Genomic DNA, 21,368 nt, shown 5'->3' with positions numbered 1-21,368 from the left:
TAAACCGCACCCTCTTTAGGGGGCGCTGTGTCTCCTTAGCCTTTAACACTGGCGCTTTCTAACCGGAATCCTGCCCTAATCCCTATTTTCAGCGCCCGCATTAGGTCCATGATCTCTGTGGCTAGCCCTTCCCTCATGCTCGCTCAGGTCACTTCAGCATCCTCACAGAAAGTCTGCACAACCATAGAGTAGAGCCAAGAAAGGCCCAACATGTTAACTACATAAACCAAGGCTGCCAGGAGTTGATAGTCGCAATAACAATCTCCCTAAGGTGGAGTTCCAGGCTTTGCTGGGCCTGAGGAACATGAGAAGTCAGTTTGTAAAGGCCAACTTGAGCTCAACGTGAAATCGGCTTTGGAGATGGGGTTTGCGGGACAAACGGGGAAAGGGATGGGATTAGAATAAGAGAGGGGTTATAGGGAGTAAATTCTGGGGTTTTCCAATAGAAACAAGCCGTTGTGCCTGGGCGCGGTGGCTCAAGCCTGTAATCCCAGCACTTTGGGAGGCCGAGGCGAGCGGATCATCTGAGGTCGGGAGTTTGAAACCAACCTGACCAACATGGAGAAACCCCGTCTCTACTAAAAAAAAAAAATACAGGCCGAGCGTGATGGCTCACACCTGTAATCCCAGTACTTTGGGAGGCCGAGGCGGGCGGATCACGAGATCAGGAGATCAAGACCATCCTGACTAACATAGTGAAACCCCGTCTCTACTAAAAATACAAAAAATTAGCCGGGCGTGGGTGGCGGGCGCCTGTAGTCCCTGCTACTCTGGAGGCTGAGGCAGGACAATGGCGTGAACCCAGGAGGCGGAGTTTGCAGTGAGCTGAGATCGCGCCACTGCACTCCAACCTGGGTGACAGAGCGAGACTCCGTCTCAAAAAATATACATATATACAAAATTAGCCGGGCGTGGTGGAACATGCCTGTAATCCCAGCTACTCGGGAGGCTGAACCAGGAGACTCACTTGAACCTGGGAGGCGGAGGTTGAGGTGAGGCGAGATCTCGTCATTGCACTCCAGCCTGGGCAACAAGAGCGAAATTCCATCTCAAAAAAAAAAGAAAAGAAAAGAAAAGGAGAAGAGAAGAGAAAAGAAAAGGAGAAAGAAAGAAAAGAAAGAAAGAAAGGAAGGAAGGAAGGAAGGAAGGAAAGAAAGAAAGAAAGAAAGAAAGAAAGAAAGAAAGAAAGAAAGAGAAGGAAAGAAAGGAGAGGAAAGAAATGAGGCGTTGCAAAATGAGAAAAGAGAAGTTTACTGAATGCAAGAATTTCACAATAGGGAATGATTTTGATGAAGCTTGGCTTTCCCCTATCCCTTGGTTTCCTGATCCCTGACTCCTCTTAGGGCAGGGACACCTATTACCTTAATTATCCTAAAGGGATTTTTTCCCTCATCTCTGAAAATTATATCCTTAGGAGCCCTCCAAGAAGAGATTCCAAACTTACCCAGGAATTTTTCTTTTTTGAGACGGAGTCTCGCTCTGTCCCCCAGGCTGGAGTGCAGTGGCTCAATCTCGGCTCACTGCAAGCTCCGCCTCCCGGGTTCACGCCATTCTCCTGCCTCAGCCTCCAGAGTAGCTGGGACCACAGGCGCCCACCACCACGCCTGGCTGATTTTTTGTATTTTTAGTAGAGACGGGGTTTCACCGTGTTAGCCAGGATGGTCTCCATCTCCTGACCTCGTGATCCGCCCGCCTCGGCCTCCCAGAGTGCTGGGATTACAGGCGTGAGCCACTGCTGCACCCGGCCTTTTTTTTTTTTTTTTTTTTTTTAAGACGGAGTCTCTCTCTGTCGCCAGGCTGGAGTGCAGTGGTGTGATTTTGGCTCACTGTAACCTCCGCCTCCCGGTTGCAAGCGATTCTCCCTGCCACCTCAGCCTCCCTTGTAGCTGGGATTACAGGCGCCTGCCACCCCTGGCTAATTTTTGTACTTTTAGTAGAGACGGGGTTTCGCCATACTGGCCAGGCTGGTCTCGAACTCCGGACCTCAGATGATCCACCCGCCTTGGCCTCCCAAAGTGCTGGGATTACAGGCGTGAGCCACCGGGCCCAGCCACCCAGGAATTTTTCTAATAGTCGGAGTAGAATCAAGGAAACATAAAACAATACAATACAAGGGCGCTGTGGCATGTGCCTGTAGTACCAATTACCCCAGGGGCTGAGGCAGGAGGATGCTTGAGCCCAAGAGTTCGAGGCCGTAGTGCGCAGTGATTGTGCCTGGGAATAGCCACTGCATTCCAGCCTCGACAACACAGGGAGACCCAGTCTGTATATAAAAATAAGATAAAATAAAAAATTGAACAATACAATGCAAATTATAGACCTACAGTGTACTCTGACAGAAGGTGAATTTCTGGTGGAATACCAGGTGTTAAGCCTTATATCTGGAAGAAGTGAAGGCTTGTCCTTTTATTCCTCAAGGAGAGTTGTTCACACATTTACTGTGCCTGGCATCACAGTCAGTGGGTTGTCATTGGCTTTGCAGCTTAAAGGTAATACTAACATTTACTGCCCACTTATTATGTGCCAGGCACGGTGCTAAATCTTTAAATACATTATTGAATACATTTTTTAAAATCCTTATGAAGTAGCTGGGCATGGTGGCTCATGCCTGTAATCCCAAAACTTTGGGAGGCTGAGGCAGGCAGATCACCTGAGGCCGGGAGTTCGAGACCAGACTAGCCAACATGGTGAAACCCCGTCTCTACTAAAAATACAAAGATTAGCTAGGTGTGGTGGCAGGTGCCTGTAATCCCAACTACTCCGGAGGCTAAGGCAGGAGAATCTCTTGAACCCGGGAGGTGGAGGTTGCAATGAGCGAGATCCTGCCATTGCACTCCAGCATGGGCAACAAGAGCAAAACTCTGTCTCAAAAAAAAAAAAAAAAAAAATTCCTGGCCGGGTGCGGTGGCTCACACCTGCAATCTCAGCACTTTGGGAGACCGAGGCGGGTGGATCACGAGGTCAGGAGTTTAAGACCAGCCTGGCCAAGATGGTGAAACCCCGTCTCTACTAAAAATACAAAAAATTAGCCGGGCGCGGTGGCAGGCACCTGAAATCCCAGCTACTTGGTAGGCTGAGGCAGGAGAATCGCTTGAACTCAGAGGGCAGAGGTTGCAGTAGCCGACATTGCATGCTACACTCCAGCCTGGGTGACAGAGTGAGACTCCGTCTCAAAAAAAACAAATAAAATAAAAAATCCTTACGAAGTAGATGATTATTAAACCCATTTTACAGATGAGCAACATGGAGTTTAGAGCAGTTAAATAATTTACTTAAGGCTACAGAACTGTTTTAGCAGCCATACGTTTGAGCACAGGAGACTCTAAACCATGTTCTTACCCACAGTCCACTCCTCTAGTTTGTTGTACTGCCTCTCTTGCATCCCAGTCCTACCTCAAGGACTCTACCTCAGTGCCAGATATTCTACAAGGACCATAAGGAGGAAAAAGTGTGGTATGGTTGGTTCATGGGGATGGTTGGCTCCTTTTTCTGTGTAGTAACTGACAAATTTTAAGTCAGATATTGTTGCAGAAGATCGCTTGATTCTTAGCTCTCCAGCCTGTTGGGGTAATTGTGCTGTGGGAGGAAGACAATTGACTGAATTAGAGACATTAGTTATTGTTGTGACTTTGCTTTAATCAGTGAGAGAACTCTGCAAGTCTCTGTACCCTCTCTGGATGGACTATAGCTGTCACTTCTGGAAAGGGGAGAGGTTCAGACCAGAGCTTTCTAGGGCCCTAGCTAACTTTTTTTTTTTTGGAGATGGAGTCTCGCTCTTGTTGCCCAGGCTGGAGTGCAATGGCACACTGTCGGCTCACCGCAACCTCTGCTTCCCAGGGTTCAAGTGATTCTCCTGCCTCAGCCTCCCGAGTAGCTGGGATTACAGGCTTGTGCCACCAGGCCCAGCTAATTTTGTATTTTTTTAGTAGAGACGGGGTTTCTCCATGTTGGTCAGGCTGGTCTCGAACTCCCAACCTCAGGTTATCTGGCTGCCTCGGCCTCCCAAAGTGCTGGGATTACAGGCGTGAGCCACCACACCCGGCCAGGCCCTAACTTTAAAATTCTATGATTGGCCAGGCGCCATGGCTCATGACTGTAATCACAGGACTTGGGAGGCCAAGACGGTGGATGGCTTGAGGCCAGAAGTTCGAGACCAGCCTGGACAAAATAGTGAGACCCCCATCTCTACAAAAAAATAAAAATAGACCAGGCACGGTGGCTCACTTTGGGAGGCCGAGGTGGGTGGATCACGAGGTCAGGAGTTCAAGAACAGCTTGGCAAAGATGGTGAAACCCTGTCTCTACTAAAAATACAAAAAATTAGCCGGGCTTTGTGGCGGGTGCCTGTAATCCCAGCTATGGGAGGCTGAGGCAGAGAATTGCTTGATCCCAGGAGGCGGAGGTTGCAGTGAGCCGAGATCACGCCACTGCACTCCAGCCTGGGTGACAGAGCGAGACTCTGCCTCAAAAATTAATTAATTAATTAATTAAATTAAAATAAATTAAAAAACCAGTAACCTTCATTCTTTCCTCTGCCCAGCAGCCGGTAACCACTACTCTACTTTCTGTCTCTATGAATTGACTATTCTAGTACCTCATAAAATGGAATCATACAATATTTTTCTATTTGCATCTAGCTTATTTCACTTAGCAGAATGTCTTAAAGGTTGCATAAGAAATCTTTGAAGGATCGATTTCATGGAACAGAATTCAAAGAAAGAAAAGAGAACAGAGATAAAACTGGAAAGGTACTTTGTGTCCAGGTTGTGAAACACCTTGAAAACAAACCTAGGTAGCTGCCATAGAGGGACCAGATGTTGTGGAAGTTGGAATTGTTACAGTCTTTTGGAAAGTATTCTGGCAATATCCTGTAAAACTAAACATGGATATACCCTCTCCTAGAGAAATAAAAACACAGCCCAATACCTAATGATACATATTTAAGAATGCTTATTATAGAATTGTTTACAATGGCCAGAAATAACATCTGTCAACAGGGGAATGAGTTAATAAATTATCGTACATCTAGACTGTGGAATAATATGCAACTAGGCCGGGCACAGTGGCTCACACTTGTAATCCCAGTACTTTGGGAGGCCGAGGTGGGCAGATCACCTGAGGTCAGGAGTTCGAGACCAGCCTGGCCAACATGGTGAAATGCCGTCTCTACTAAAAATACAAAAATTAGCTGGGCATGGTGGTGAGCGCCTGTAATCCCAGCTACTTGGGAGGCAGAGGCAGGACAATCACTTGAACCTGGGAGAAGGAGGTTGCCATGAGCCAAGATCGCACCATTGTACTCCAGCCTGGGTGACAAGACCAAAACTCCGTCTCAAAAAAAAAGGAATGTTAGATCTATATACATTAACCTGGAGAAATAACAATGGCATGTTAAATGATAAAAGTAAGTTGCAGAGTAATTTATATGTCATGATTTTATTTTTTTATTAAAAAAAATAAGACTATAGATGAGGCGCGGTGGCTCACCCCTGTAATTCCAGCACTTTGGGAGGCTGAGGCAGGTGGATCACCTGAGGTGAGGAGTTCCAGACCAGCCTGGTCAACATGGTGAAACCCCATCTTTACTAAAAATACAAAAATTAGCCAGGCGTGGTGGTGCACGCCTGTAATCATAGCTACTCAGGAGGCTGAGGCAGGAGAATCACTTGAACCTGGGAGAAGGAGGTTGCAATGAGCCAAGATTGCGCCATTGCACTCCAGCCTGGGTGACAAGAACAAAAACTCTGTCTCAAAAACAAACAAAAAAGACTATAATTATGAATAACTATGTTTGTAAATGTTTATATTCTATTCTATTAATATTTATTAAATGTCAATTGTGGGCCAGGCACTGGGGATAAAGCAGTGAACAGAACAGACAAGTATGTTTACCCTCATGTAACTTGCATTCTAGCTGGAGGGGTGGGGTAATGTGTAGGAGCAGACAATAAACCAAAAAAATAAGTAAGCTAGGGCCAGTGGGGGGTGGCTTACACCAGTAATCCCAACATTTTGGAAAGCAGACGCAGGAGGATTGCTTGAAGCCAGGAGTTCGAGACCAGCCTGGGCAACATAGCAAGACTTCATCTCTAAAAAAGATAAAAAATTAGCTGGGCGTGGTGGCATGCACCTGTATTCCCAGCTACTCCAGGGGCTGAGGCTGAAGGATCGATTGAGCCCAGGAGATCAAGGCTGCAGTGAGCTTCGTGATCTTGCCACTGCACTCCAGCCTGGGTGACAGAGTGAGACCCCATTTCAAAAAAAAAAAGTAAACTATATAGTAAGTTAGATGACAAGTGTTGTGGAGAATAACAAAATGGAAAAAGAGGGTAGTGGACAATTCCACTTTGTTGAACAATTTATTATATATATATATATTCTTTTTTAGAGATGAAGTTTCACTCTGTTGTCTAGGCTGGACTTCAATTACTGGGCTCAAGGGATCCTCCCACCTCAGCCTCCTGAGTTGTTGGGACTACAGGCTCATGCCATGGGTGCTGGGCTATATGTTGCACAATTTGGAATGGTACATTTATGTTAGGGAGAAAAGAGGAACAAGGAAGAAGAGTTAAATAGGGTGGTCATGGAAGACCTTATTCAGAAGGGGACATTTCATTAAGAGACCCCAAAGAAGTAACAGAAAGAGGCTGGGCGCGATGGCTCACGCCTGTAATCCCAGCACTTTGGGAGGCCAAGATGAGCAGATCACAAGGTCAGGAGTTCGAGATCAGCCTGGCCAACATGGTGAAACCCCATCTCTACTAAAAATACAAAAATTAGCTGGGCGTGGTGGTGCGCGCCTATAAGGAGGTTGAGGCAGGAGAATGGCTTGAACCCAGGAGGCAGAAGTTGCAGTGAGCCGAGATCATGCCACTGCACTCCAGCCTGGGTGACAGAGCAAGACTGAGCCTCAAAAAATATATATATATAGTGCTGGCTTCAGCAGCACATACACTAAAATTGGAATGATGCAGAGAAGATTAGCATGGTCCCTGCGCAAGGATGACATGCAAATTCACGAATCCTTTCTTTTTTTTTTTTTTTTTTGAGATGGAGTCTCGCTCTATCACCCAGGCTGGAGTGCAGTGGCGAGATCTCAGCTCGCTGCAACCTCTGCCTCCTGGGTTCAAGTGATTCTCCTGCCTCAGCCTCTGCAGTAGCTGGGATTACAGGTGTGCGCCACACACCAGGCTTTTTTTTTTTTAATTTTTTTAATTTTTAGTAGAGACAGGGTTTCACCATGTTGGTCAGACTGGTCTGGAACTCCTGACCTCAAGTGATCCACCCACCTCAACCTCCCAAAATTCTGGGATTACAGGCATGAGCCACTCCTCCCAGCCACAAGTATTTTCAATTATTATGGGTATGTATTTAGGAGAGGAATTGCTGGGTCATATGGTAACTATGTTTTACTTTTTGTTTTTTGAGACGGAGTCTCACTCTGTCTCCCAGGTTGGAGTCCAGTGGTGGGATCTTGGTTCTTTGCAACCTCTTCCTCCAGGGTTCAAGTGATTCTCCTGCCTTAGCCTCCTGAGTAGCTGGGATTATAGGCACATGCCACCACTCCTGGCTAATTTTTGTGTTTTTAATAGAGACAGGGTTTCACCATGTTGGCCAGGCTGGTCTGGAACTCCTGACCTCAGGTGATCCGCCCACCTCACCCTCCCAAAGTTCTGGGATTATAGGTGTGAACCACCACTCCCAACCTATTTTACTTCTTTTTGGGACTTTGTTTTTTGTTTTTGCTTTGTTTTGTTTTTTGCTTTTTTGTTTTTGTTTTCCAGGCTGGAGTGCAGTGGCGAGGAGACGGCTTACTGCAGCCTCAACCTCCTGGTCTCAAGTAATCCTTCAGCCTCAGCCTCCCATGTACCTGGGACCACAGGCATGCACTAGCACACTTGGCTAATTTTTTTTTTTTTTTTTTTGGGATGGAGTCTCACTCTGTCGACCAGGCTGGAGTGCAATGGCACAATCTTGGCTCACTGCAACCTCTGCCTCCCGGGTTCAAGCAATTCTCCTGCCTCAGCCTCCTGAGTAGCTGGGATTACAGGTGTGCGCCACCACACCCGGCTAATTTTTGTATTTAGTAGAGACGGGGTTTCACCATGTTGGTCAGGCTGGTCTCGAACTCCTGACCTTGTGATCCACCCACCTCAGCCTCCCAAAGTGCTGGGATTACAGGTGTGAGCCACCGTGCCCGGCCCACAATTGGCTAATTTTTTAAAAATGTATTTTCTGTAGGCTGGCGCAGTGGCTCATGCCTGTAATCCCAGCACTTTTTGGAGGCCAAGCAGGCGGACCACCTGAGGTTCAAGACCAGCATGGCCAACATGGAGAAACTCCGTATCCACAAAAATACAAAAATTAGCGGGTCATGATGTCAGGTGCCTGTAATCCCAGCTACTTGGGAGGCTGAGGTAGGAGAATCACTTGAACCTGGGAGGCAGAGATTGCAGTGAGCCAAGATTGCGCCATTGCACTCTAGCCTGGGCAACAGAGTGAGACTCTGTCTCAAAAAAAAAAAAAAAATTCTTTATAGAGATGGACTCTTGCTTTGTTGCCCAGGATGACCTTGAAATCCTGGTCTCAAGCAATCTTCCTGCCTTGGGCTTCTAAGCACTGGGATCACAGGCGTGAGCCACTGCACCAGGCCCTGTGTTTAACTTCTTGAGGAACTACCAAATTATTTTCCGCAGTGGCTGCACCATTTTACATTACCAACAACGTTTGAGGGTTCTGATTTCTCCTCTCCACATCCTCACCAACACATGGTATTTTCAGAGTTTTTTGGTTTTGTATTTTCTTTACAGCCATCCTAGTGGTGGTTGTAAACCATGGTGTCTCATGGTTTTGATTTGCATTTCCCTAATGACTAATGATTTTTTTTTTTTTTGAGACGGAGTCTCGCTGTGTCCCCCAGGCTGGAGTGCAGTGGTGTGATCTCAGCCCACTACAAGCTCTGCCTCCCGGATTCACGCCATTCTCCTGCCTCAGCCTCCCAAGTAGCTGGGACTACAGGCGCCCGCCACCATGCCCGGCTAATTTTTTTGTATTTTTAGTAGAGATGGGGTTTCACCGTGTTAGCCAGGATGGTCTCGATCTCCTGACCTCGTGATCCACCCGCCTCGGCCTCCCAAAGTGATGGGATTACAGGTGTGAGCCACCGCGCCCGGCCCCTTAATGACTAATGATTTGCGCATCTTTTCATATGTTTGTCTATTTGCATATCTTTTTTTTTGAGACCGAGTTTTGCTCTTGTTGCCCAGGCTGGAGTGCAATGGTGCAATCTCGGCTCACCGCAACTTCCGCCTCCCAGGTTCAAGCAATTATCCTGCCTCAGCCTCCAGAGTAGCTAGGATTACAGGCATGCACCACCATGCCTGGCTAATTTTGTATTTTTAGTAGAGGTGGGGTTTCACCATGTTGGTCAGGCTGGTCTGGAACACCCGACCTCAGGTGATCCGCCCGCCTCAGTCTCCCAAAGTGCTGGGATTACAGGCATAAGCCACTGCGCCTGGCCTTTTTTTTTTTTTTTCTTTGAGACATAGTCTCGCCCCGTCACCAGGCTGGAGTGTAGTGGCACGATCTCAGCTCACTGCAACCTCTGACTCCCTGGTTCAAGCAATTCTCCTGCCTCAGACTCTCCTGTAGCTGGGATTACAGGCATGTGCCACCACGCCCAGGTAATTTTTGTATTTTAGTAGAGACGGGGTTTTACCTTGTTGGCCAGTATGGTCTCGATCTCTTGACCTCGTGATTTGCCCGCCTCGGCCTCCCAAAGTGCAGGGATTACAGGCGTGAGCCACCACGCCCGGCCTTGTATATCTTTATTTGAGAAATGTCTATTCAAGTCATTTATTCATTTTTGAGTTGGATTATTGTTTTTTGTTGTTGTTGTTGTAGTCGTAAAAGTTCTTTATATATTCTGGATACTGGATCCTTATCAGGTACAAAAATTGCAATTATTTTCTTCTATTCTGTAGGCTTATGGAAGCAATTTTTAAATGATTAATTTGACAGTTGTGTGTGCATAAAGGATTTGAAGAGACAGCAGAAAGACCAACTAGGAATTCATTGCAGTTCTTCAGGTTACAATGGACACAAAACAGTAACAGTAAGAAAATGTCCCCCAAACGATTGTGTACCACAGGTGAAATTAGGAAAAGTCAGCTGAGCGTGGTGGTATGTGCCTGCAGTCCCAGCTTCTTGGGAGGCTGAAGCAGGAGGATCACTTGAGCCCGGGAGTTAGAGGCTTCAGTGAGCCATGATAACGACAGTGCACTACAGCCTGGGCAAGAGAATGAGGCGCTGTCTCAAAAACAAAAACAAACAAACAAAAAAATCAAAGTATAATAGATGAGATCAGCCATTTGTAGAAGTAGCAAATAACCTGGTGTAGTTTCAGGAAAGCATAATTCTATCAACATATCTAAAGTTCTAGCAACCTAATCACTCAAAGTAAAATGGCCGGAGGCCTAACACAATCAAATTCTAACCCAATCAATTAGAATAAGATGGCTGAAGGGAATATAAACAGAATCAATTATATTAACTTGGCTAGAGCTGAAACCCAATCAATTGAATTGTACCTTGTCTTCAGAGAAGGGGGAGTAAGGAAGTAGTCTGCAAAGAATCCCCACCCCCAAAATTGTCAATATTTCTCCAGCGACATTTAGGAAAGAAGATTACCCATTTGTCCAACATAAATGAATATCTTATATCTGTATAAAGAAGATGTATGCTGTTCTATTAGTCACTAAAATTTTCCAACTAGGGTGGGCGCAGTGGCTCACGCCTGTAATCCTAGCACTTTGGGAGGCCGAGGCGGGTGTATTACCTGAGGTCAGGAGTTCGAGACCAGCCTGGCCAACATGGCAAAACCCTGTCTCTACTAAAAATACAAAAATTAACCGAGATTGGTGGCGGGCGCCTATAATCCCAGCTACTCTGAAGGCTGAGGCAGGAGAATCGCTTGAACCTGAGAGGCAGAGGTTGCGGTGAACCAAGATCACACCACTGCACTCCAGCCTGGGTGACAGCGAAACTCCGTCTCAAAAAAATAAAATAAAATTATCCAACTAATTCCACTTGTTCACTAAGCAACCTTCTAATGATCAAACTTGTCTTCCAAAATAGTCAACCATTTTGATTATCCAATAAGATTGTCTAGGCCACTGGAAGTTTTTTTTCTCTATTTTTTAATAACAAAATTTAAAAGTGGTACAGACGGTCGGGTATGGTGGCTCATGCCTGTAATCCCAGCACTTTGGGAGGCCAAGGCGTGCAGATCATGAGGTCAGGAGATCGAGACCATCATGGGTAACACAGTGAAACACCATCTCTACTAAAAATACAAAAAATTAGCCGGGTGTGGTGGCATGTGCTTGTTGTCCCAGCTACTCGGGAGGCTGAGGCAGGAGAATCGCTTGAACCTGAGAGACGGAGGTTACAGTGAGCTGGATCGCGCCACTGCACTCCAGCCTGGGCAACAGAGCGAGACTCTATCTCAAAAAAAAAAAAAAAAAAAGTGGTACAGAGAGGTTGTTTGTTCGTTCTTTCTTTCTCTCTCTCTCTTTTTTTTCTTTCTTTCTTTTCTTTCTTTCTTTCTTTCCTTCCTTCCTTCCTCCCTCCCTTCCTTTTTCTTTCTTTCCTTCCTTCCTCTCTCTCTTTCTCTCTCTCTTTCTCTCTCTCTCTCTCTTTTTGAGACAGAGTCTCTCGCTGTCTGTCACCCAGACTGAAGTTCAGTGGTGCAATCACGGCTCACTGCAACCTCAGCCTCCCAGGTTCAAGTGATTTTCTGCTTGAAAATAGATAAATATTTCCTAAGTAGCTAGGACTACAGGTGTGCACCACTACGCACAGCTAATTTTTGTATTTTTAGTAGAGACGGAGTTTCACCATGTTGCCTGGACTAGTCTCAAACTCCTGGCCTCAAGTGATCCGCCTGCCTCGTCCTCCCAAAGTGCTGGGATTACAGGCCTGAGCCACCGTGCCCGGCCACGCCACTGGAAGTTTTATGTAGAAATATGTAAATTAACCATGTGGTTTATATGTTATATTCTTCTAAGTTTGGTCAGCATAAGTGAGTTCTTCCAAGATGAATTAATTGACCAAAATTGACATGGGCATTCAAGCCAAAGCTTGAATGTTTTCTTTTCTTTTCTTTTTTGAGACAGGGTCTTTATCGCCCAGGCTGGAGTGCAGTGATGCGATCTCGGCTCACTGCAACCTCAACCGCCTTGGTTCCAGGGATTCTCCCACCTCAGCCTCCCTAGTAGCTAGGACTACAGGCACACACCACCCCATCTGGCCAATTTTTGTACTGTTTGGTAGAGATGGGGTTTCACCATGTTGGCCAGGCTGGTCTCAAAGTCCTGATCTCAGGTGATCCGCCCGCCTCAGCCTCTCAAAGTGCTGGGATTACAGGCATAAGCCAGCGTGCCCAGCCTCAATGTTCTTAGGAAAAAAAAGTTAGCAATGTTTCTATCCTTGATAGTCTAATCAACCCAGGTGTGGAAGGAGCCTTATTTTATATGCTTAGGAGAGACAGTGAGAGGAATTTTTTTGTTTGGTTTTTCCATTCTACAGTGGAAGCAGACTCAGAAAAGCAATTCAAATTGCCTAGGGCCACACAATTCAATTAGATAAGGCTCTAGACACTAACTCCCAACCCAGGGCTTGCTTTGGCTCTTGCTTTGGCAATCATAGATTGCTTCTACTCCAGCCACTGCATAATAGGAAACAGCACAGTGGTCATCACAGCAGAGTTGGGGCAACTACAGCTGTTGATCTGGAGATGTGGGCGAATCCCCTCCACAAAATCAGGCCTTGGGGAGACAATAGAAGGGTGACATCTTTTTTTTGAGACTGAGTTTTGCTCTTGTTGCCCAGGCTCGAGTGCAATGGCGCAATCTCGGCTCACTGCAACCACCGCCTCCTGGGTTCAAGCGATTCTCCTGCCTCAGCCTCCCGAGTAGCTGGGATTACAGGCATGGGCCACCACGCCAGGCTAATTTTGTATTTTTAGTAGAGACGGGGTTTCTCCATGTTAGTCAGGCTGGTCTCAAACTCCCAATCTCAGGTGATTGCCCGCCTTGGCCTCCCAAAGTGTTACGATTACAGGCATAAGCCACAGCCCCGGCATCTTTTTTTTTTTTTTTTTTTTTTATAAGACAAAAAAACCTCTGTTGTCCAGGCTGGAGTGCAGCCTCAACCTCCTGGGCTCAAGTGACCCTTGCACCTCAGCCTCCAAGTAGCTGGACTACAGGTGTGTGCCACCACAGCTGGCTAGTTTTTAAATTTTTTGTTGAGACAGGGTCTCACTATGTTTCCCAGGTTGGTCTCAAACTCTTGGCCTCAAGCAATCCTTTTGCCTTGGCCTCCCAAAGTGCTAGGATTACAGGCATAAGCCACCACACCCAGAGATGGCATCTAACCTAACAACAGTCTGGCTTTGTCTCTGAGGTGTAGGAGGTGTCTCCCTAACATATGACTATGATGAAAATTAAGACCACAAAAAAGAAGATTCCTGGGGTTATGTAGTTGCAACTTTCATCCAGTAGTTTGAGGTGCTACGTGGATGAACTCTTTTGACTGCCACCTAAAGATCCACCCCTACCTCTTAATTACTTCATCAACCTTCCTCAGGACTACATCACACATAGTAACCTGTATAAAGAACAACGTTGCTAGGGGGCAGAATTGAATGTTAGCTATGCACTCAGAGGAATCCAATTTTTTTCATCCCTTCACAGAGCTGTGAGGGGATGACTTTCCTTAGGAAGAGGGATATTTTTCTCATCTTTTTTTTTTTTTTTTTGAGAGAAGATCTCATTCTGTCGCCTAGGCTGGAGTGCAGTGGCAAGATCTCAGCTCACTGCAATCTCTGCCTCCTGAGTTCAAGTGATTCTCCTGCCTCAGACTCCTGAGTAGCTGGGATTACAGGCGCACGCCACCACGCCCAGCTAAGTTTTGTATTTTTAGTAGAGATGGGGTTTCACCATGTTGGCCAGGCTGGTCTCAAACTCCTGACCTCAGGTGATCCACCCGCCTAGGCCTCTCAAAGTGCTGGGATTACAGACGTAAGCCACTGTGCCCGGCTGCCTTCTTTCACCTTGATAAGGTAGAAGGCCAAGCATGTGGGAATAGATACAAGTAAACTGGTGGATTTTGGTATTGGAAAAAATGAGGCAGTCTCATCTAAATGCATCTATTTTATCAATGAAACATGAAGCAAGATCATCTGCTGAGAGTGAACTGGAGGTGGTATTGGAGATGTTAGAAGAGAGAAGGTGTGAAACAATCATTATGCAGGGTAGAAAAGAGAATTTACCAGGGAAATACAGAATTATTTGGGAGTGTTGCGTTTTAGGGGCATTTTTTTTTTTTTGAGACAGAGTCTTGCTGTCACCCAGGCTAGAGTGCAGTGGCGCGTCTCAGCTCACTGCATCCCCTGCTTCCGGGTTCAAGCTATTCTCCTGCCTCAGCCTCCCAAATAGCTGGGATTACGGGCATGCGCCACCACGCCCAGCTAATTTTTGTATTTTTAGTAGAGACGGGGTTTCACCATGTTGGCCAGGCTGGTCTCGAACTCCTGATCTCAAGTGATCTGCCCGCCTCGGCCTCCCAAAGTGCTAGGATTACAGGCACGAGCCACCGCACCCATCTTAGGGGCATAAATTTAAAGTGATGCTAGTTAGCCAGATTCTGAGATTTTCTCCTTCAATATTCAGCTACCTAGGTATATATATGGAGAAGCTGAATTGTTGGATTTAACTGGAATTTGATTTTTTTCCAGGAAAGTTCTATGGAGGGCAAGAGGGACAAGGAAGTTAACAATGTCTGCAAGTTTATGGTTCTGGATGTGAAGGGGAGTGAGTGGATTATTTAAAAAATAAAAGACCAGGCACAGTGATTCACACCTGTAATCCTAACATTTTGGAAGGCAAGGGTTGGGGGATTGCTTGAGTCTGGGAGTCTGAGGCCAGCCTGGGCATCATAGTGAAGACTTGTCTCTACAAAAAATTAGCCTGGTGTGGTGGCACACACTTGTAGTCTCAGCTACTTTGGGAGGCTGGGGTGGGAAGATCACTTGAGCCCAAGAGTTTGAGGCTGCAGTGAGCTATGATAGCACTGCTACATGCCAGCCTAGGAGTCAAACCTTGACTCTAAAAAAAATAAAAAAACTAGGGCTGGGCGCGGTGGCTCACACCTGTAATCCCAGCACTTTGGGAGGCTGAGGCGGGAGGATCACCTGAGGTCAGGAGTTCGAGACCAGCCTGACTAACATGTAGAAACCCCGTCTCTATTAAAAATATAAAAATAGCTGGGCATGGTGGCGCATGCCTGTAATCCCAGCTACTTGGGAGGCTGAGGCAGGAGAATTGCTTGAACGCAGGAGGCAGAAGTTGCGGTGAGCCGTCATCATGCCATTGCACTCCAGCCTGGGCAACAAGAGCAAAACTCCATCTCAAAAAATAATAATAATAAGCCGGGAGTGGTGGCTCACACCTGTAATCCCAGCACTTTGTGAAGCCGAGGCGGGCAGATCATGAGGTCAGGAGATCGAGAACATCCTGGCTAACAAGGTGAAACCCTGTCTAAACTAAAAATAAACTAAAAATAAACTAAAAATACAAAAGTGTAGCCGGGCATGGTGGCAGATGCCTGTAGTTCCAGCTACTCGGGAGGCTGAGGCAGGAGAATGGCGTGAACCCGGGAGATGGAGCTTGCAGTGAGCTGAGATCGCACCGCTGCACTCCAGCCTAGGGGACAGAGAGAGACTCCGTCCCAAAAAAAAAAAAAGAAAAAAAAAGAAAAAAAGAAAAGAAAATAATAATAGTAATAACAATTTATTTTATTTTATTTTTTAGACAGGGTCTCTCTCTGTTACCCGGTCTGGAGTGCAGTGGCATGATCACAGCTTACTACAGCCTTGACCTCCTAGGCTCAAACAATCCTCCCACTGCAGCCTTCTGAGTAGCTGGGAATACAGTTGCATGCAGGCACACCTACTAATTAAAAAGAATTTTTTTCTTTTTTTTGTAGAAGGGTCCCACTATGTTTCACAGGCTGGTCTCAACTCCTGAGCTCAAGAGATCCTCCTGCCTCAACCTCTCAAAGTGCTGTGATTACAGGCATGAGCCACCCTACCTGGCCTCAACTTTTATTTTAAATTCAGAGGGTACACGTGCAGGTTTGTTATATGGGTATATTGCATGACACTGGTTTGGGGTATGAATGATCCTGTCACCCAGGTAATGAGCATAGTACCCAATAGGTAGTTTTTCAGCCTTCCCTGCCATCAGTAGTCCCCAGTGTCTATTGTTCCCATCTTCAGACCCAAGATTTGAGTGCAGGCATTTCTGACTCTGAAACTCATGCTCTTAGCCATTGTACTGTGGTGCCTTAGACAAATTTTGTTCAATACCGTTTTTACCATCACTATTATAGGATGATATAATAAAATACAAAATCATGTGGTCCAAATAGAAAAATATTTAAACGACGTTATTAATTCTCTGGTACATATTATTGCAAAATAAGTTAGAAAAGAGGAATATGGCCAGGTGTGGTGGCTCACACCTGTAATCCCAGCACTTTGGGAGGCTGAGGCAGGCGGATCACCTGAGGTCAGGAGTTTGAGACCAGCCTGGCCAACATGGTGAAACCCTGTCTCTACAAAAATTGGCCGGGCACGGTGGCTTACTCCTGTAATCCCAGCAGTTTGGGAGGCTGAGGCAGGTGGATCACAAGGTCAGGGGTTCAAGACCATCCTGGCCAAGATGTGAAACCCTGTCTCTACTAAAAATACAAAAAATTAGCCAGGTGTGGTGGTAGGTGCCTGTAATCCCAGCTACTCAGGTGGCTGAGGCAGAGAATTGCTTGAACCCGGAAGGCGGAGGTTGCAGTGAGCCGAGATTGCGCCACTGCACTCCAGCCTGGCTGACAAGAGTGATACTCTGTCTCAAAAAGAAAAAAAAAAAAAGAGAGAGAGAGAAAGAAAGAAAGAAAAGAGGACTATGTGTATGTGTGAAAGTAGCCAGAAAGGGTGTTGCAGACCTAGAGCTTGAAATGAACTCTCCTTGGAGAGTAGATTATAAGAAGGGAACCAACATTAATGTGTTTCCTGTATAAGCACTGTATGTGCATTGCTTCATCTGATCCCTTACACAACCTGTGATGGAACCTCTGTTCTCACTCATTACCAAGGGGAAACTGAGGTTCAAGGAGGTTAGATAATTTGCCCAAGTCCACGCTGCTAGGTGCTGAGCTGAGACTCAAACCCAGATCTCTCGTCTACTCCACACTGCCTCAGATTGGTAGAAAGGGCCAAGGAAGGCATTCCAGGTAGAGGGGAGCAGCAGGGGCAAAGATGGAGGTCTGGAATGAGAAGGATGCCTGTGAAAAGAAGTTGGTAAATGGCCAGGGATCTGGCCTTCCATCCTCTAAGGAGGAGCAGAGGGTGGGACTTCCTAGGCAGCTCCACCCACTTTAGAGGGTTGCAACAGTGTGAGGTGGGGCGGAGGTTCTGGGGTTCCTGGAAGGTGACTGAAGCCCATAAGCCTGGCACTGTGCCCATGGCGTGGCTGGAACTAGCCCCGCCCAGTAGTGCTGGGATGGGAGAGCCACGGCCTGCAGGCTAGTTCCTGGAAGTCTAGCCACCACCCCTCCCCGCCAACACTAGTGCAGCCTAGCTCTTGCTCTCCCCCAGAATCAGGCTCTTTACTGGCTTCAGTTTATCCCAAGCATCTCTCTACCAGAGTCTGACCTCCAGATAGGGCATTCGAAGTTCCTCAAGCCCTTGGGTCACTCTGGCCTCCAGGTATCTAAGCTTTCATCTAATAAGTAACAGACTAATTTTTGTATTGATCCCATTTTATCTTCCTAACAACTTCGCTAAGTGGGCATTCTCATTATTGTCTCCATTTTTCAATAAAGCTCAGAAAGGAAATAAAGCTCAGAAAGGTTAGGTTGGCCGGGCTTGGTTGGTGGCTCACACCTGTAATCCCTGCACTTTGGAGGCTGAGGTGGGTGGATCACCTGAGGTCGGGCGTTAGAGACCAGCCTGGTCAATATGATAAAACCGCATCTCTACTGAAAAAAAAACAGAAAATTAGCTGGGCATCTTGGCATGCGCCTGTAATCCCAGCTACTCAGGAGGCTGAGGCAGGAGAATTGCTTGAACCTGGGAGGTGGAGGTTGCAGTGAGCTGAGATCATGCCATTGCACTCCAGCCTGGCAACAAGAGCAAAACTCCCTCTCAAAAAAAAAAAAAACAAAAAAAACAGAAAAGTTGGGTTACCCAAGGCTACATAGCCAATAAATGCCAGGACCCAAGCCCAAGTTTCTTCGTTTGTTTTTTTAGAGATAGGGTCTTGCTCTGTCACCTAGGCTAGAGTACAGTGGTTGGAGTATAGCTCATTGTAACCTCAAACTCTTGGGCTCAAGTGATCTTCCCAGCTCAGCCTCCTGAGTACCTGGCACTACAGGTTCAAGCCACCACACTCGACACCAAGCCCAAGTCTTCTTTTTTTTGAGACAGAGTCTCACTCTGTTGCCCAGGCTAGAGTGCAATGGTGCGATCTCGGCTCACTGCAACCTCCGCCTTTTGGGTTCAAGCAATTCTCCTGCCTCAGCCTCCCAAGTAGCCGGGACCACAGGCGCCCGCCACCACACCCAGCTAATTTTTATATTTTTAGTAGAGACAGGCTTTCGCCATGTTGGCCAGGCTGGTCTCGAACTCCTGACCTCAAGTTATCCACCTGCCTCGGCCTCCCAAAGTGCTGAGATTACAGGCATGAGCCACCATGCCCAGCCCCCAAGTCTTTTTATTTCATTTTATATGTTATTTATTTATTTATTTTTGAAATGGAATATCGCTCTGTCACCCAGGCTGGATTGCAGTGGCATGATCTCGGCTCACTGCAACCTCTGTCTCCCAGGTTCAAGTGATTCTCCTGCCTCAGCCTCCTGAGTAGCTGGGATTACAGGCATGTGCCACTACACCCGGCTTATTTTTGTATTTTTAGTAGAGACGGGGTTTCACCACGTTGGCCAGGCTGGTCTCAAACTCATGACCTCAGGTGATCCGCTTGCATCAGCCTCCCAAAGTGCTGGGGTTACAGGCGTGAGCCACCGCGCCCGGCCTATTTTGTTTTTGTGAGACAGGGTTTTGCTCTGTCACCCAGGCTGGAGTGCACTGGCACAATCACAGCTCACTGCAGCCTCAACCTCCTGGGCTCAAGCCATCCTTTCACCTCAGCCTTCTGAGTAGCTAGGAGTACAGGTGCATGCCATCATGCCCGGCTATTTTTTTTTTAATTTTTTGTAGAACCAGGGTCCCACTATGTTGCCCAGGCTGGTCTCAAACTCCTAGGCTGAAATGATTCTCCTTCCTCAGCCTCCCAAAGTGCTGGGATTAGAGGTGTGAGCCACTGTGCCCAGCCTCAAGCCCACTAATAAGACTCAAGATCTATGATGCACCGTGAAACTACTTCTCTTTCTAGATTTAGAATTAAGCCCCAGGCCAACATGGTGAAACCCCATCTCTACTAAAAATACAAAAATTAGCTGGGCGTGGTGGCAGGCGCCTGTAATCCCAGCTACTTGGGAAGCTGAGGCAGGAGAATCGCTTGAAACCGGGAGGCGGAGGCTGCAGTGAGCCGAGATCACACCAGTGCATTTCGGCCTGGGTGACAGAGCAAGACTCCATCTCAAAATAATAATAATAATAATAATAACAATAATAATAAAATACAGTAGAATTAAGCCCCAGGGATTATTTCTTCTGGGACTATACTAGGTTTATCTATCAGCCTTCATCCATTTTGGTGTTAGTACTAGGCTCTGCTAAAGGGCATTAACTCTTAGATGCCAGGGTCTGGGAACCTCAGTCGTATCTAACTCCCTTGAAAGCCCCAAACCCTTTTGTCCTGAGAATGGGGTTCAGTCTCCCCTTAACTCCTGAGTCAATCGTCTAAAAATTGTTATCTGAGGAAAGAAACCTCCTCAAAGACTTTTTTAAATCCTATCCTTACCCAAACTGGAACACAAGGAACAATGAGTTATATGCTTCAGAAAATCTAGTCCACCATCTGAGCCTCTGTGTATACCAGGGCCCCCCGCTAAGAGGGGCCTCGCTATTCCTTGGTCCCAGACCCCTCTACCACCTCCCCCAAGCATCGGGGTAACCGCCCGGCTCTGCTGCCTAGGATAACGCCCAGCCCTCCCCTTGCCCCCTGTGGCTGCCTCCCCTTTCCGTCTGTTGAGAGAGGAAGCCAGGGGGTGTTGGGTGCAACCCTGCAGGGCACTGATAAAGGGCCAGCCCTGCCCCCACCCTCTGGGGCCACTGCGGTCAGACCAGCAGGCAAGCAGGCAAGGCAGCCAGCTCCCTCTGGGACCCATGGCCCTCCCCTGGTTCCACCTCTACCCACCCCGCCCTTCTCGGGAAGCTGGTTGCATAACTCAGTGGGGTGTTTGGCAACATTGCTTGTGGCTTGACCTGCTGCTGCTGGTGGTGTACACACACGTTATGAGGGTGAGGGTAGGGGTGGGTTGACCAGGTGTGACAAGAAGTGAATCTTTTAGGGAGTGGGTTAGCAGCATACGTGGAGAATGATAAAATAGTAAAGATATGTGGCCGTGGTTTTCTCCGTATCGTATTCTGTCTCTGCTACCTTTGATGAAGTGGGAGAATCTTGAGGATAGGAAAACCTTAGACATCCCTGCTTTACCAAGTCTTAGGCACTATCCAACCCATTCAGGCTGGCTCCTAATGTTTTGCAATTTGTAAATCAAACAAAGGAGACTTAAGGTAGAAAGGTGTTTGGTCTGGATTTCAGGAATCTGAGAGGAAGGGGCTAAAGGAACCATCCCCTCCTTTGAGGGCTGTAAAGGGTGTTCTGCCTCCAGAACACAGCCTGAGAACCACAGTGAAGTCCTCTTTTTCTGTAGGAGAGGAGTGAGGGTGAGATGGGAGAGACATCTCCACCTAGCCAGTCACCTTATTGAAGGAAGGCTGTCTCTTCACTTAGAACACCCTACTTGACTATGTCTGTCCCTTCAAATAAGTAGTAGATGACCTCAAACACTTCTATGAATCCCTACTATTTATAGGATAAAGTACACTCTCCCTAGATTGACTCTCAAGACATTGTATAATTTAGCCCCTGTCAAATTTTCCAGGCTTATCTTCTCCTACTTCCCATCCCATACCCCAACCTAGCAAACCCAAAGTATTGCTCTGTATTTTATGCCTCCATGCCTTCACATCTTTGCTTGGAATACTCTTTTCCACTTCTCTGCCTGGGAAATTCCTAGTTTTTCTCCACAGCCTAACTTAATTGTCACCTCCTCTGTAAAGCCTTC

At 46.9% G+C, this 21,368-nt stretch overlaps 1 pseudogene, besides 3 other annotated features; it reads left to right on the top strand.

The window, feature by feature from the left end:
- RNU6-950P (RNA, U6 small nuclear 950, pseudogene) lies at positions 6,930–7,036 on the top strand (annotated as a pseudogene).
- Positions 17,316–17,836: a transcriptional cis regulatory region, noted in NCBI's record as "intergenic|chr12:54700765-54701285 region (GRCh37/hg19 assembly coordinates) targeted for CRISPR interference". NCBI's record gives its function as "positively regulates HNRNPA1 and NFE2 gene expression in K562 cells {active_cell/tissue: K562}" and the evidence as "EXISTENCE:mutant phenotype evidence [ECO:0000015][PMID:31784727]".
- Positions 20,056–20,576: a transcriptional cis regulatory region, noted in NCBI's record as "intergenic|chr12:54698025-54698545 region (GRCh37/hg19 assembly coordinates) targeted for CRISPR interference". NCBI's record gives its function as "positively regulates expression of HNRNPA1 and NFE2 and negatively regulates expression of COPZ1 in K562 cells {active_cell/tissue: K562}" and the evidence as "EXISTENCE:mutant phenotype evidence [ECO:0000015][PMID:31784727]".
- Positions 20,756–21,256: a transcriptional cis regulatory region, noted in NCBI's record as "intergenic|chr12:54697345-54697845 region (GRCh37/hg19 assembly coordinates) targeted for CRISPR interference". NCBI's record gives its function as "positively regulates HNRNPA1 and NFE2 gene expression in K562 cells {active_cell/tissue: K562}" and the evidence as "EXISTENCE:mutant phenotype evidence [ECO:0000015][PMID:31784727]".

The sequence above is a fragment of the Homo sapiens genome, chromosome 12 (genome assembly GCF_000001405.40).
Source record: "Homo sapiens chromosome 12, GRCh38.p14 Primary Assembly".
In the NCBI taxonomy this organism is placed as follows: Eukaryota; Metazoa; Chordata; class Mammalia; order Primates; family Hominidae; genus Homo; species Homo sapiens.
This window is presented reverse-complemented; position numbering and strand designations above follow the sequence as displayed.